Raw genomic sequence first — 13,985 nt, 5'->3', positions numbered from 1 at the left:
GTACTAATTTACATTCCCACCAACAGTAAATGAGGGTTCCCTTTTCTCCAAATTCTCGCTAGCATTTGTTATTTCCTGTATTTTGCATATAAGCCATTTTAACTCCAGTGAGATGATGTCACACTTCAGTTTCGATTTGCATTTCTCTATCAATGATTTTGAGCACCTTTTCATATGCCTGTTTGCCATGTGTATGTCTTCTTTTGAGAAATATATCTTCAAATCTTTTTGGCCATTTTTGACCAGGTTATTAGATTTTTTCTTGTAGAGTTGTTTGAGCTTCTTACATATTGCAGTTATTAATCCTTTGTCAGATGGATAGTTTGCAATCATTTTTTCCCATTCTGTGGGTTATCTCTTCACTTTCTTGGTGTGTTATACTTTATTTTTCATTTATTATTTTTATTTAATTTTTTCATAAGTTATCGGGGTACAGATGGTATTTGGTTACATAAGTAAGTTCCTTAGCGGTGATTTGTGAGATTATGGTGCACCCATTACCCAAGCCGTATAGACTGCACCATATTCGTAGTCTTTTATTGCTCGCCTCCCTCCCACTCTTCCTCCCAAGTCCCCAAAGTCCGTTGCATCATTCTTATGCCTTTGTGTCCTCATAGCTTAGCTCCTACATATCAGTGAGAACATACAATGTTGAGTTTTCCATTCCTGGGTTACATCACTTAGAACAATAGTCTCCAATCTCGTCCAGGTCACAGGAAATGCTGTTAATTCATTCCTTTCTATGGCTACATAGTATTCCATTATATATATCTATATCTATATATCTATAGATATCTATATATATTTATCTATATCTATCTATCTATCTATATATATATCTATATATCTATCTATATATATCTATCTCACAGTTTCTTTATCCACTTGTTGACTGATGGGCACTTGGGTTGGTTACACGATTTTGCAATTGTGAATTGTACTGCTATAAACTTGCGTGTGCAAGTATCTTTTTTGAATAATGATTTATTTTCCTCTGGGTAGATACCTAGTAGTGGGATTGCTGGATCAAATGGTGGTTCTACTTTTAGTTATTTAAGGAATCTCCACATTATTTTTGATAGTGGCATACTAGTTTACATTCCCTCCAGCAGTGTAGAAGTGTTCCCTGTTTACTGCATCCACGGCAACATCTACTGTTTTTTTATTTTTGGGTTGCAGGAGGTAAGGTGGTATTGCATTGTGGTTTTGATTTGCATTTCCCTGATCATTAGTGATATTAAGCATTTTTATTTATGTTTGTTGGCCATTTGCATATCTTCTTTTGAGAACTGTCCATTCATGTCCTTAGCCCATTTTTTGATGGGGTTGTTTTTTTCTTTCATACTGATTTGTTTGAGTTTGTTGTGGATTCTGGATATTAGTCCTCTGTCAGATGTATAGATTATGAAGATTTTCTCCCACTCTGTGGGTTGTCTGTTTACTCTGCTGACTGTTCCCTTTGCCATGCAAAAGCTCTTTAGTTTAATTAAGTCCCAACTATTTATCTTTGTTTTTATTGCATTTGCATTTGGGTTCTTCATCATGAAATCCTTGCCTATGCCAATGTCTAGAAGGGTTTATCCAGTGTTATTTTCTAGAATTTTTATAGCTCAGGTATTAGGTTTAAGTTCTTAATCCATCTTGAGTCGATTTTTATATAAGGTGAGAGATGAGAATCCAATTTTATTCCCCTACATGTGGCTCACCAATTATCCCAACATCATGTGTTGAAAAGGGTGTCCTTTCCCCACTTTATGTTTTTGTTTACTTTGTTGAAGATCAGTTGGCTGTAAGTATTTGGGTTAATTTCTGGGTTCTCTCTTCTGTTCCATTGGTGTATATGCCTATTTTTAAACCAGTACCATGCTGTTTTGGTAACTGTGGCCTTATTGTACAGTTTGAAATCAAGTAGTGTGATGCCTCCAGGTTTGTTCTTTTTGCTTAGCCTTGGTTTGGCTACATGGCTCTCTTTTGGTTCCATATTAATGTTAGAATCGTTTTTGTAATTCTGTGAAGAATGATGGTGGTGTTCAGATGGGGATTGCATTGAATTTGTAGATTGCCTTTAACAGAATGGTAATTTTCACAATATTGGTTCTACCCATCCATGAGCATGGGGGTGCGTTTCCATTTGTTTGTGTCATCTATGATTTCTTTTCTTTCTTGTTTTTTTTTTTTTTTTTTTTTTTTTTTCAGAGGGAGTTTCGCTCTTGTCGCTGAGGTGGGAGTGCAATGGTGTGATCTCGGCTCACTACAACTTCTGCCTCCTGGGTTCAAGCGATTCTCCTGCCTCAGCTTCCCGAGTAGCTGGGATTATAGGCATGCGCCACCATGCTTGGCTCCATCTATGATTTCTTTCAGCAGTGTTTTGTAATTTTCATTGTAGAGGTCTTTTGATTCCTTTGCTAGGTATATTCCTAAGTTTTTTTTTTTTTTTGCAGCTATTGTAAAAGGGGTTGAGTTCTTGATGTGATTCTCTGCTTGGTAGCTGTTGATGTATAGAAGAGTTACTGATTTGTGTACATTTATCTTGTATCTGGAAACTTTGCTGAATTCTTTTATCAGTTCTAGGAGCTTTCTAGAGGAGTCTGTAGGGTTTTCAAGGTGAAAGATCATATTGTCAGCAAGCAGTGACAGTTTGACTTCCTCTTTACCGATTTGGATTTCCTCTATTTCCTTCCTTTGTATGATTGCTCTGGCTAGGACTTCCAGTACTATGTTGAAGAGGAGTGGTGAGAGTAGTCTCCTCGTCTTGTTCCAATTCTCAAAGGGAATGCTTTCACCTTTTCCCCATTCAGTATTATGTTGGCTGTGGGTTTGTCATAGATGGCTTTTATTACATTAAGGTATGTCCCTTGTATGCCTATTTTGCTGAGAGCTTTAATCATAAAGCAATGCTAGATTTTGTTGAATGCTTTTTCTGCATCTGTTGATATAATCATGTGAGTTTTTTTTAAATTCTGTTTATTTGGTGTATCACATTTATTGACTTGCATATGTTAAACCATTCCTGTATCACTGGTATGAAACCCACTTGATCTTGGTGGATTATCTTTTTGATATGTTGTTGGATTCAGTTAGATAGTATTTTGTTAAGGATTTTGGCATCTGCGTTCATTAAGGATATTGGTCTGTAGTTTTCTTTTCTGGTTATGTCCTTTCATGGTTTTGGTATTAGGCTGATGCTGGCTTCATAGAATGAATTGGAAGGGTTTCTTCTTTCTCTGTCTTGTGGAATAGTGTGAAAGGATTGGTATCATTTCTTCTTTGAATGTCTGGTAGAATTCTGCTGTGAATCCGTCTGGTCCTTGGCTTTTTTTGTTGGTAATTTTTAAATTACCCTATCAATCTTGCTGCTTGCTTTATTGGTCTGCTTGGGGTATCTAATTCTTCCTGATTTAAGCTAGGAGGGTTGTATTTTTCCAGGAATTTATCCAACTCTTCTAGGTTTTCTAGTTTATGTGCTAAAAGGTGTTCATAGTACCCTTGAATAATCTTTAATATTTCAGTGGTGTCAGTTGTAATATCCCCTGTTTCATTTCTTAGTGAGGTTATTTGGATTTTCTCTCCTTTTCTTGGTTAATCTTGCTAATGGTTTATCAATTTTATCTTTTCAAATAACCAAATTTTTGTTTTATTTATGTTTTGTATTTTTGTTGTTGTTGTTGTTGTGTCAATTTCATTTAGTTCTGCTCTGATCTTGGTTATTTCCTTTGTTTGCTGGGATTGGGTTTGGCTTGTTCCTCCTTCTCTAGTTCCCTGAGATGTGAACTTAGATTGTCTGTGCTCTTTCAGACTTTTCGACGTAGGTGTTTAGTGCTATAAACTTTCCTCTTAGCACTGCCTTTGCTGTATCCCAGAGGTCTTGATAGGTTGTGTCATCCAGTTCGAAGAAATTTTTTACATTTCCATCTTGATTTCGTTTTTCACCCAATGCTCATTCAGGAGCAGGTTATTTAATTTCCATGTATTTGCATGGTTTCGAAGATTCCTTTTGGAGTTGATTTTCAGTTTTATTCCATTGTGATGTGAGAGAGTGCGTGATACAATTTCAATTTTCTTAAATTTATTGAGACTCATTTTATGGCCTATCATATGGTCTATCTTGGAGAAAATTCCATGTGCTGTTGAATAGAATGTGTATTCTGTGGTTGTTGGATGAAATGTTCTATATATATCTGTTAAGTCCATTTGTTCCAAAGTATAGTTTAAATCCATTGTTTCTTTGTTGACTTTCTGTCTTGATGACCTGTCTAGTGCTGTCAGTGGAGTATTGAAGTCCCCCACTATTATTGTGTTGCTGTCTATCTTATTTCTTATGTCTACTAGTAATTGTTTTATAAATTTGGGAGCTCCAGTGTTAGGTTCACATATGTTTAGGATTGTCATATTTTTCTGTTGGATGAGACTGTCAGGTGACAGATGATATACTGTCTCTCTTTGTCTCTTTTAGCTACTGTTGCTTTAAAGTTTGTTTTGTCTCATATGAGAATAGTTACTGCTGCTTGCTTTTGGTGTCCATTTGCATGAAATGCCTTTTTCTACCACTTTCCTTAAGTTTATGTAAGTCGTTATGTGTTAGGTGAGTCTCCTGAAGGCAGCAGATAGTTAGTTGGTGAGTTGTTATCCATTCTGTGGTTCTGTATCTTGTAAGTGGAGCATTTAAGCCATTTACAACCAACATTAGTATTAAAAAGTGAGGTACCATTGCTTTCATCATGCTCTTTGTTGCCTCTGTACTTTGTTTTTGTTTTTTAACTTGTATTTTTGTTTTATAGGTCCTCTGTGATTTATGCGTTAATGAAGTTCTGTTTTGATGTGTTTCCAGGATTTGTTTCATGATTTAGAGCTCCTTTTAGCAGTTCTTAGAGTCCTGGCTTGGTAATGGCAAATTCTGTCAGCATTTGTTTGTCTGAAAATGACTGTATCTTTCCTTCATATATGATGTTTAGTTTTGCTGGATACAAAATTCTTGGCTGATAATTGTTTTGTTTGAGGAGGCTGAAGAAAGGGCCCCAATCCCATCTAGCTTGTAAGGTTCCTGCTGTGAAATCTGCTGTTAATTTGACAGGTTTTCCTTTATAGGTTACCTAGTGCTTCTGTCTCACAGCTCTTAAGATTCTTTCCTTTGTCTTAACTTTGGATAACCTAATGACAATGTGCCTAGGCTAAGATCTTTTTGTGATGAATTTCCCAGGTGTTATTTGTGGTTCTTGTATTTGGATGTCTAGGTCTCTCACAAGGCCATGGAAGTTTTCCTAGATTATTCTCCCAAATATGTTTTCCTGGCTTTTAGAATTCACTTCTTCCTCAGGTACACCAATTAGTGTTAGGTTTCATCATTTAACAGAATGCCAGACTCCTTGGAGACTTTGCTCATATTTTCTTATTCTTTTTTCTTTGTCTTTATTGGATTGGGTTAAATCAAAGACCTTGTCTTCGAATTCTGAATTTCTTTCTTCTACTTGTTCAATTCTATTGCTGAGACTTTCCAGAGCATTTCACATTTCTAAAAGTACGTCCAAAGTTTCCTGATTTTTTATTTTTTTATTTAAGCTATCTATTTCCTTGAATAATTCTCCCTTCACGTATTGTATCATTTTTTGGATTTTCTTGCATTGGGCTTCATCTTTCTCTGGCCCCTCCCTGATTAGCTTAATAACTAACCTGAATTTTTTTTTAGATGAATCAGTGATTTCTTCTTTGTTTGGATCCATTGGTGATGAACTGGTGTGATTTTTTGGGGGGTGTTGAAGATTCTTGTTTTGTCAGATTACCAGGGTTGGTTTTCTGGTTCCTTCTCATTTTGGTAGACTCTGTCAGAGGAAAGGTCTAGGGCTGAAGACTGTTGTTCAGACTCTTTCATCCCACGGGGTGTTCCCTTGACGTAGTACTCTCCCCTTTTTCCTATGGGCATGGCTTCCTGTAAGCCAAAGTGCATTGATTGTTGTCTCTCTTCTGGGTCTAGCCACCCAGCAGGTCTACGTGGCTTTGGGCTGGTACTGGGGGTTGTCTGCATAGAGCCCTGTGATGTGAACCATCTTTGGGTCTCTGAGCCATGGATACCAGCGCCTGTTCCAGTGGAGGTGGTGAAGGGTGCAATAGACTCTGTGAGCCTCCTTAGCTTTGGTGGTTTAATGCTCTATATTTGTGCTGGTTGGGCTCCTGCCAGGAGGTGGTGATTTCCAGAAAGCATCAGCTGTAGTAGTGTGGAGGGACTGGCAGTGGGCAGGGCCTTAGGACTCCCAAGATTATATGTCCTTTGTCTTCCACTACCAACTTAAACATTTGTGACAGTTTCAATATCAGAAATTTATGTGTAATCAAATTTATTCTGGTAGCTTATTTTCTTCTATGCTTCAATCTTTATAATTTAGTTCTCACATGAGGGAGATCTAATATTGGAAATATTTTCAATGTGTATGTTTATGTATTTATTCTAGTTGTCCAGGCACAAGGTTATCAATGTTGCTGTGTGACCAGCCATTGGCTTTTCACATTTACAACCCCTCTGAATTTTTTCTTGCCTTATTTCTGGTGCTGGGAAATTCTGATATTTTCTCCTCATCTCCATTGTAAATTTTAGGGATTCTTGAAACTTTTGATGCACAAACATCCACACTTTCCACATAAGTAAAATATTTTACTTAGATATTTTCTAGCAGACACTGAGTTCTCATGAGAAATCCTCAGTCTCTTTATTTGGAACACCTCCTCCCCAGTATTCCATATGGAGTAGTTATGTGTAGAATGTGATTACTTCATTAATATGTCAAAGTATGGATATATTTTGAACACATTTCTGAAGTTGTAATTCCTTTCTTGATGAATTGTACCTGCGCATGAGCAGAATTGATGTTTTCTGTGGAGCAGTAAGTTAGCACTGGTAGAATCTGTTCTGTGATCCCAGGTCCTTGGGCTCCAGTGTCAATGCTTCCTCCTTAGATCCTCCCTGACACTGCAAATTTACCTCAGTCCCTATTTCTTAATCCAATAGCCATTTAAATTGATCTTCAATTACTTTGTATGTGGCCAGATATTATTTATGGGTTATATTCTAATTCACATTTTTCTGATATAATTTCAGAGAGCCTAGAAAATATCACCTAGTGAATATCTACTTCCATGAGGTCAGTGACACATTTTTAGGTCTTCAACTTCAATATTTAAAATATTTGTCTCTGGAATTTGAAAATAATATGTATGCCTTTTTTACTGGATAAAAAGGCTAATCAGTTGTTCATCTGATTAGTAATCAAAGTTTCTAAAATTTAATACTTCATGTTACTTTATGTTTTATATAAATGTGTATTTCTATGACAGTTTTAGTGTCACCTAATATTATTTACAATGTTGTAATTTTTATTTATATGAATCTTTGTGTTATACATTTTAACGTCATTGGTATTAAAACTATATGTGCAAATAGCTTGAAATAGCACCTAACACATCATGGATTCTATGTAAATATTCACCACTCTATTTCATCACATTTTAACCAATTGATACCATTCTTCATTTGCTAACATTTTGTTTGTCTTAATTCTAATTTGTGTTGGTGTCCTGTCTACATATTAATAAAAGAGAGGAGGTAGGCCCAGACTTCCATCTTGATTAAATACTAAGACAAATGGCACATTTTCCTAGTTCTATTTATATACAACATTACATTTGTCTGACATTATAAATAAGAGTATTCAGTTCAGTACAGCAAAAAAAAAAAAAGTAATCTTAACCTTCCTACAACAGATGTTGGGATATTCATGGATTGTCCACAACTTCCTTCTCCCAACATTATTGTTATTCTTACATCTCAACTGCCATGAAAACCTAGAAGCATGAAATACTACAAATTAGACACAGATTCCCTGCTATACACAAAGTGTAAAATTAAATCAAGAAGAAAGAGAATATATGCGTACTTATACAGCAAGTAAACAGATTAGACTAATGAAAACTCTTCATCAGTCTAGCCCTGGCTCACATAGCTTCACTAGTGAATTCTATTAAACACTTAATGAATAACCAATCCTTCACAAACACTTGCAAAGCAGAGAAGCAGGAAAACATCAATTCATTTTCAAGGCCAGTATTACCCAGATAACAAATCAGACAAAAGTATCACAAGAAAATAAAAGTGCAGACTATTATCCCTCATGAATGAAGACAGAAATCTCCAAAAACTCTAGCAAACTGGATGAAGCAACACATAAAAATGTTAGACAAGCCTGGCATGGCAGTGCACATCTGTAGTTCCAGCTACTTAGGAGGCTGAGGTGGCAGGATCACTTGAGCCCAGGAGCTTGAGGTTATAGTGAGCTGTGACTGTGCCACTCCACCCCAACCTGGGTGACAGAGTGAGGCCTCATCTGTAATAAAAATGAAAGAAAATTAGAAAAAAGTTAGACAATATAACCAAGTGGAATTATCCTACCAATACAAATTTAAAAATCAATCAGTGTAATACATCATATTAATAGAATAAAGGAAAAGACCATGATGATTTCAATGGACGTCTGACAATGTCTGACACTCATTCCTGATAAATCTTCCAGAAATCTAGCAATAGAAATAACTTCCTGAACCCCCTAAAGGACATCCATGAAAATTTAATAAATTCCACTAAGGTATATTGAAAGGCATATTGATACTTCCAACCTTATGGTTTTAAAAATTAACAATGAAATGAGAACTAATAACAGTAATCTATCCATCTGCAAAACATTAAACACCTTTCTAACAATATTTCTTTTGAAGTGATAAAGGTAAACATCCAAATTTAATAAGAGGAGTGCTTTTGAGACAACTGAAATTTGGTGTTCCTAATTTTTCTGACTTATTAGCAATTAGAATCTAATTATCAATAATGCCAAGAAGACAGGAGTACTCTCCAATGACATTAAAATGTATAACACAAAGATTTATAGTTAGGCATAATGTATAACACAAAGATTCATTGTTTGGCATAACAGCATTTCATATTTGAATCATCTAATAACATTGTCATCATTGCATATTCTCCTGGAAGTAACACACAATACAGACTTCAAAAAACCAGAGCTTTTGCTGGGGATATATGCTCCTTCCAAAGGCGATTGATTGTGTGCAATATTCTGAGAAGTAATTCCTCCAAAGGTAAAGTGTCGCTATCTGGGCTTCTGGGAATATCCCGAAAATCCACATATTCTAAAAATCTTTTCCACTACCAACCACCATAAATGCTGAACAACAGAACATGCGCTCAACTGCACAAATTATGCTTTGGGGCTTTTGTACACAGTTTTTGCACAGAAATATTTAAGTAAATATAAATTAATTGAAATGTTTTCCAGGTGGATATTGAGGGAGAAACAGAAAAATCCAAGACAATCCCTTGTGGAAGAAAATTCTCCAACCCAAAACTCAACCGAACTCAAAGGGCTGAACAGCGCGTCAATTAAGACCTGTCAAATATAATCACACGATCTAATAGTTTTAAATACGCAAAATAAAGAGCACCAAAGTAAATGTCATTCAGAAATAACAACAACAAAACCAGAGCACCCCGATGCATTTAGGCCTCAAGGAATTCCAAAGTAGTGTATTAGGTATAGTAAATATATATGTAATTAGAAATGTTTAGAGAAATTAGAGAGATGTGTTTTTTTTAAAAGATTTGGCCTATAAAACAGTTAACAATTCCAGTAAAGAAGAAAACAGAAATTCAATGTTTGATATACATACATAAAAATAAATTTCAGGAAAAGTCCGTGTGATAACAGAATCCAAATTATATAAAAGATAGAAATCTCAATGTTTGTTTTTACACATTTTAAGGAAAAAACAACCCTGAAAGCACAAAATGCAGAAAATAATGTTAATAAGTCTTGAGTTTTGAAGTCCCTCTCACTGGCTTTGGCACTTAGAGAAGAGCTAGCACAGGCTCAGGATCCCCTAATGGGCATTTCTGCCAAGGAGACCATCCTCATGAAAATGGAGCCGAAAGCTATGCGCACAAGATGGATGGATGCTCCTCTCCCAGAGACCAGCAGGTGCAGGTGTGCAGGGAGTGGGCCAGGGAGGGGCTGTGAGCACCAACCTGGGAGGGGTGGCTAGACCTCCATTGGATCCTCCTGTCCGCAGGGGCCTCAGAGGGTTCCAGCAGAGGCCAGTCCTAGGTTCCTTGTCCCATGGCTGGCCCCTGAGACTTGCTTCACCTGCCAGCTCTTTCCACAAAGACATCAGGATGGCATACCCAACCCAGCCCCCTCACAGAGAAAGGGGATTAATGTCAGGGCCCACGGCCATCCTGGCCTTTTCAGTAACTGTTTAAATAGTGGATAGGTTAGGCCAGAATGTGCTGCTGTGGCCCCTGGGATCACATCCCTGGAGGGAACCTGCCTGGGGTTGTGAACTGAAGGGCGAGGCTGGACAGCCCACTTGGGGTTCAGTGAGCCGAGACTTAGTTTTCAGCTCAGTTCCCTCTGCCACTCCTGGGGGACTTGGGCTTGTCTAGAGCAGGCATTGAGGATGGCAGAGAGCAGAGATGCTGAGCTGTCAGGTGGGTGCCAAAGGGTGAGCATGAGGCATCCCGAGGGTTGGAGCCATCAGAAGGCCCTTAGGTCAGCCCAGAGCCATCCCAGCCTCTGTACCTGGAGCTGCAGGGTGGGCGCTGTGCAGTGGGCTGGTCAGAGTGGACTGAGAAGCCAGTTAGGGAGGGGTTTTCATTGCCCATTTTCCTGCGGTGCAAATCAAGTTCCGAAGGCCACAAGCGAGGTGGGGCAGAAACACTGGGCTGAGGCATCACCTTCTCTCCTCTTTGGCTCACATAGGCCCCTGACTTTCTTGGGCTTGCCTGAAAGTGAGAGAAGATCCCTCTTATTGTGCGGGTGGACACAGAAGTCACCAGTCACGTGTGATGAGGAGGGCTGAGGCACCCCCAGAGTCTTTGCAGGGCAGCACCCACTAATTGCTGGGTGGACTGGGAGGCCAGGCTGGGACACTGGGAACTGAGGTCACCAGTCCCCACTGTACCTCGAATCTGTCCCCACCGTGCAACATTGGGCCAGCTCAGGCTCTGTCACCAGCTCCCCACATCGTCGTCCCTCAGAGCCCTAGGGTGGGTTCCCCCTACTCAGTGTCTCTGGCCCGTGCTCTCCACTTTCAGGCCTGACAAGCACCCAGGCCCCACACCAGTGTCTTTCTGAGGGCGTGGGTGTTGGGATCGCTGGTACAGAACTCACAGCTTAGCTACATGTGTGTCCCAGACTTGCTTAATCAATGGAGCAGTGAACCCGCTGCTTCTGGGGTACAGTCTCCTGTATTTCATGGGTCAGGTAGACAGGCTGCCTCCCCTTCACCTCCAGGTGTGCGCACCCACAGTCATCTCCACCTGCAATCCAGTCTCATCTGAAGCTGCACGCTCTGCAACAGACGCCTGTGCACGACCTCGCTGTGCACACAGCAGGGGCTGCCCTCGGTCCCTCACTCTCCCCTAACGCCCCTGCCTCCCAGACCCACGACTCACAGGAGGAGCCAGTCCCCTAGCCCAGGGAGCCAGGGTGGGTGCGGCCTGGGGACTGGGCATGGCAAGCTGGCCCATAGGGTCGTCCCTAGCACCTACCAGAGAGTGTACGAGGGAGCCGAGCCTGCAGCGCCGGGTGGGCAGCGAGCTCCCTGGAGACCCATGCAGCGGGTCAGGTGCCAGCGGCCGCCAGGTCTGGGCGCGGGGCCGGGCCACCAGGGTGCGGCTTTCCGCTCTGGAGAGTTTATGGCCCCTGTCGTGGGACGGCTGCGCAGCCGCCAGGGAGGGACTGCAGGGACCGCGGCTGGGACAGGCTGCTGCGCCAGGCGGCCCTGGACCGCCGCTTCTGCCCCTAAGCCGCCCTCGCAGCCCAGGTGACCGGTTTGTCCTACCCGGGGAGCATCGCCCTCCTCCGCCGGGCCCGAGCCCGGCGTGGGGGTTGTAGGCCGGCACCACAGCGTGAGGACACCGCGACCTCTGCCCCCGGGAGCGCGCTGAATGCCAGGTGGGGCTGCTGTCGCAGGCCGTGGAGCCGCAGCCCCGCTGAATGGCAGGGTCAGGCTGGGCGTCGGGGTCCTGGCAGAGACCGCGGCGAGGGCCAGAGCAGGTGCACTGGCCGCTGCACACGCGCCGCTAGGCTCCCGGACACCGCTGGCGCGCACCCCTGGTGGCAGCCGGCTCAGGAGCCGCGGGAGGGCGGTGCCCAGTCCCCAGCCAAGCGGCAGCGCGAAGCTCCTTCCCCGCTTGGGGGAGTGGGCGTGGCCCAGGGGCCCGACTGCCTTACTAGTGAAAAAGCTGGGGTTGGAGCTGCCACGGGGGGAGGTGGGGGGCCTAGGAGGCTCTCTCTGGACCTTCTGGGTGTCCTCCTGCGACCTCAGGTTCTTCACCTGTCTCAGAGGACTGATGGGCTGGTATGGCAAGGTTGTTTGGAGGATTAAGCCAGATAGTCGCAGTAAAGCCCCATTAGCCCGTCTGGCCTCTGGATTTTTTTTTAAATTATTTTTCTGGCTTTCTTAGGAAACTTTCCAGAATGTGTCCAGGTGTTGAAGCGGGAAGGCTGGACACCCTCCCTTGGCGTTGCGGTTCCTTCCAGACGCCCCCTCTTCTTAGGCTCTTTTCAAGCGCACGCCCAGCAACGTGTGCTCTACCCAAGAGCGCGTCACAGATCTTCCTGTGGGTCTAAAACCAGAAGGCTTTCTTCCATGACCCCTGCCCTCATATCACCGCAACGCCATGTCTCTTGGCAGAGCCGGCTACAGAATCGAGTGTCAGTTTAATGCTTGTTCCCTAAGGTCTCCCTAGGGCTCTTATGACGGCATTAGGGTTCGGGTTCGGGCGCGCCCCTCCGCGCCTGCGCCTGCGCCGGCGCTGCGCGCCCCTCCGCGCCTGCGCCTGCGCCGGCGCTGCGCGCCCCTCCGCGCCTGCGCCGGCGCTGCGCGCCCCTCCGCGCCTGCGCCGGCGCTGCGCGCCCCTCCGCGCCTGCGCCGGCGCTGCGCGCCCCTCCGCGCCTGCGCCGGCGCTGCGCGCCCCTCCGCGCCTGCGCCGGCGCTGCGCCTTTGCGAAAGTGAAGCTGTGTTCTCATCAGCAGAGACTCGCAGAGCATGGCGAGGGCGCAGCTGCGTTCTTCTCTGCACAGATGTCCGGAGTACCGCGGAGGCGGAGCAGCGTTCTCCTCAGCACAGACCCGGGCGGGCGGGCAGTCCAGGGGCACCCCGAAGGCAGAGCTGCGTCCTGATCAGCACAGACCTTGCGGGCATTACCTCGCTTTGGGACAACTCGGGGCCACAGCGACGGTAAATAAAATTCTTCCTCTTTGCAGCCCTCAACAATCAGGGTCAGAGTCCAGTTAGAAGGGTGAGGGTTAGGGTTAGGGTTAGGGGTAGGGGTAGGGGTAGGGTTGGGGTAGGGTTAGGGTTAGGGTTAGGGTTAAGGGTTAGGGTTAGGGTTAGGGTTAGGGTAGGGTAGGGTTAGGGTAGGGTTAGGGTTAGGGTTAGGGTTAGGGTTAGGGTTAGGGTTAGGGTAGGGGTTAGGGGTTAGGGTTGGGGTTTAGGGTTAGGGTTAGGGTTAGGGTAGGGTTGGGGTTGGGGTTGGGGTTGGGGTTGGGGTTGGGGTTGGGGTTGGGGTAGGGTTAGGGTTAGGGTTAGGGTTAAGGGTTAGGGTTAGGGTTAGGGTTAGGGTAGGGTAGGGTTAGGGTAGGGTTAGGGTTAGGGTTAGGGTTAGGGTTAGGGTTAGGGTTAGGGTAGGGGTTAGGGGTTAGGGTTGGGGTTGGGGTTGGGGTTAGGGTTAGGGTTAGGGTTAGGGTTAGGGTTAGGGTTAGGGTTAAGGGTTAGGGTTAAGGGTTAGGGTTAGGGTTAGGGTTAGGGTTAGGGTTAGGGTTAGGGTTAGGGTAGGGTTAGGGTTAGGGTAGGGTTAGGGTTAGGGTTAGGGTTAGGGTTAGGGTTAGGGTTAGGGTTAGGGGTAAGGGTTAGGGTTAGGGTTAGGG

General features: G+C 43.2%; 2 long non-coding RNA genes across 3 annotated transcripts, besides 1 other annotated feature; one reads left to right on the top strand and one right to left on the bottom strand.

Annotated features, from left to right (window-relative positions):
- Nucleotides 1–8,055: 8,055 nt before the first annotated feature.
- On the bottom strand, nt 8,056–12,426 carry LINC02564 (long intergenic non-protein coding RNA 2564). 2 transcript variants are annotated; one of them, NR_149138.1, is made up of 3 exons: nt 12,391–12,426; nt 10,632–10,834; nt 8,056–8,369 (listed from the first exon to the last, which is right to left on the bottom strand). It is a non-coding gene; the product is annotated as a long intergenic non-protein coding RNA 2564 (long non-coding RNA). The 2 variants fall into 2 exon arrangements; NR_149137.1 differs by lacking the exon at nt 12,391–12,426 and adding an exon at nt 11,603–11,911.
- On the top strand, nt 8,393–9,748 carry LOC124904234 (uncharacterized). Its single transcript, XR_007066262.1, has 2 exons — nt 8,393–9,135; nt 9,333–9,748. It is a non-coding gene; the product is annotated as an uncharacterized LOC124904234 (long non-coding RNA).
- Nucleotides 12,565–12,719: a silencer, noted in NCBI's record as "fragment chr18:11267-11421 (GRCh37/hg19 assembly coordinates)". NCBI's record gives its function as "represses an EF-1alpha promoter that drives an FKBP-Casp9 reporter gene in an ReSE screen in phorbol 12-myristate 13-acetate-treated (for megakaryocytic differentiation) K562 erythroleukemia cells {active_cell/tissue: K562(+PMA)}" and the evidence as "EXISTENCE:reporter gene assay evidence [ECO:0000049][PMID:32094911]".

The sequence above is a fragment of the Homo sapiens genome, chromosome 18 (genome assembly GCF_000001405.40).
Source record: "Homo sapiens chromosome 18, GRCh38.p14 Primary Assembly".
Classification (NCBI taxonomy): Eukaryota; Metazoa; Chordata; class Mammalia; order Primates; family Hominidae; genus Homo; species Homo sapiens.
Note: the sequence above shows the minus strand (reverse complement) of the source record. Positions and strands in the feature narration are given on the sequence as shown.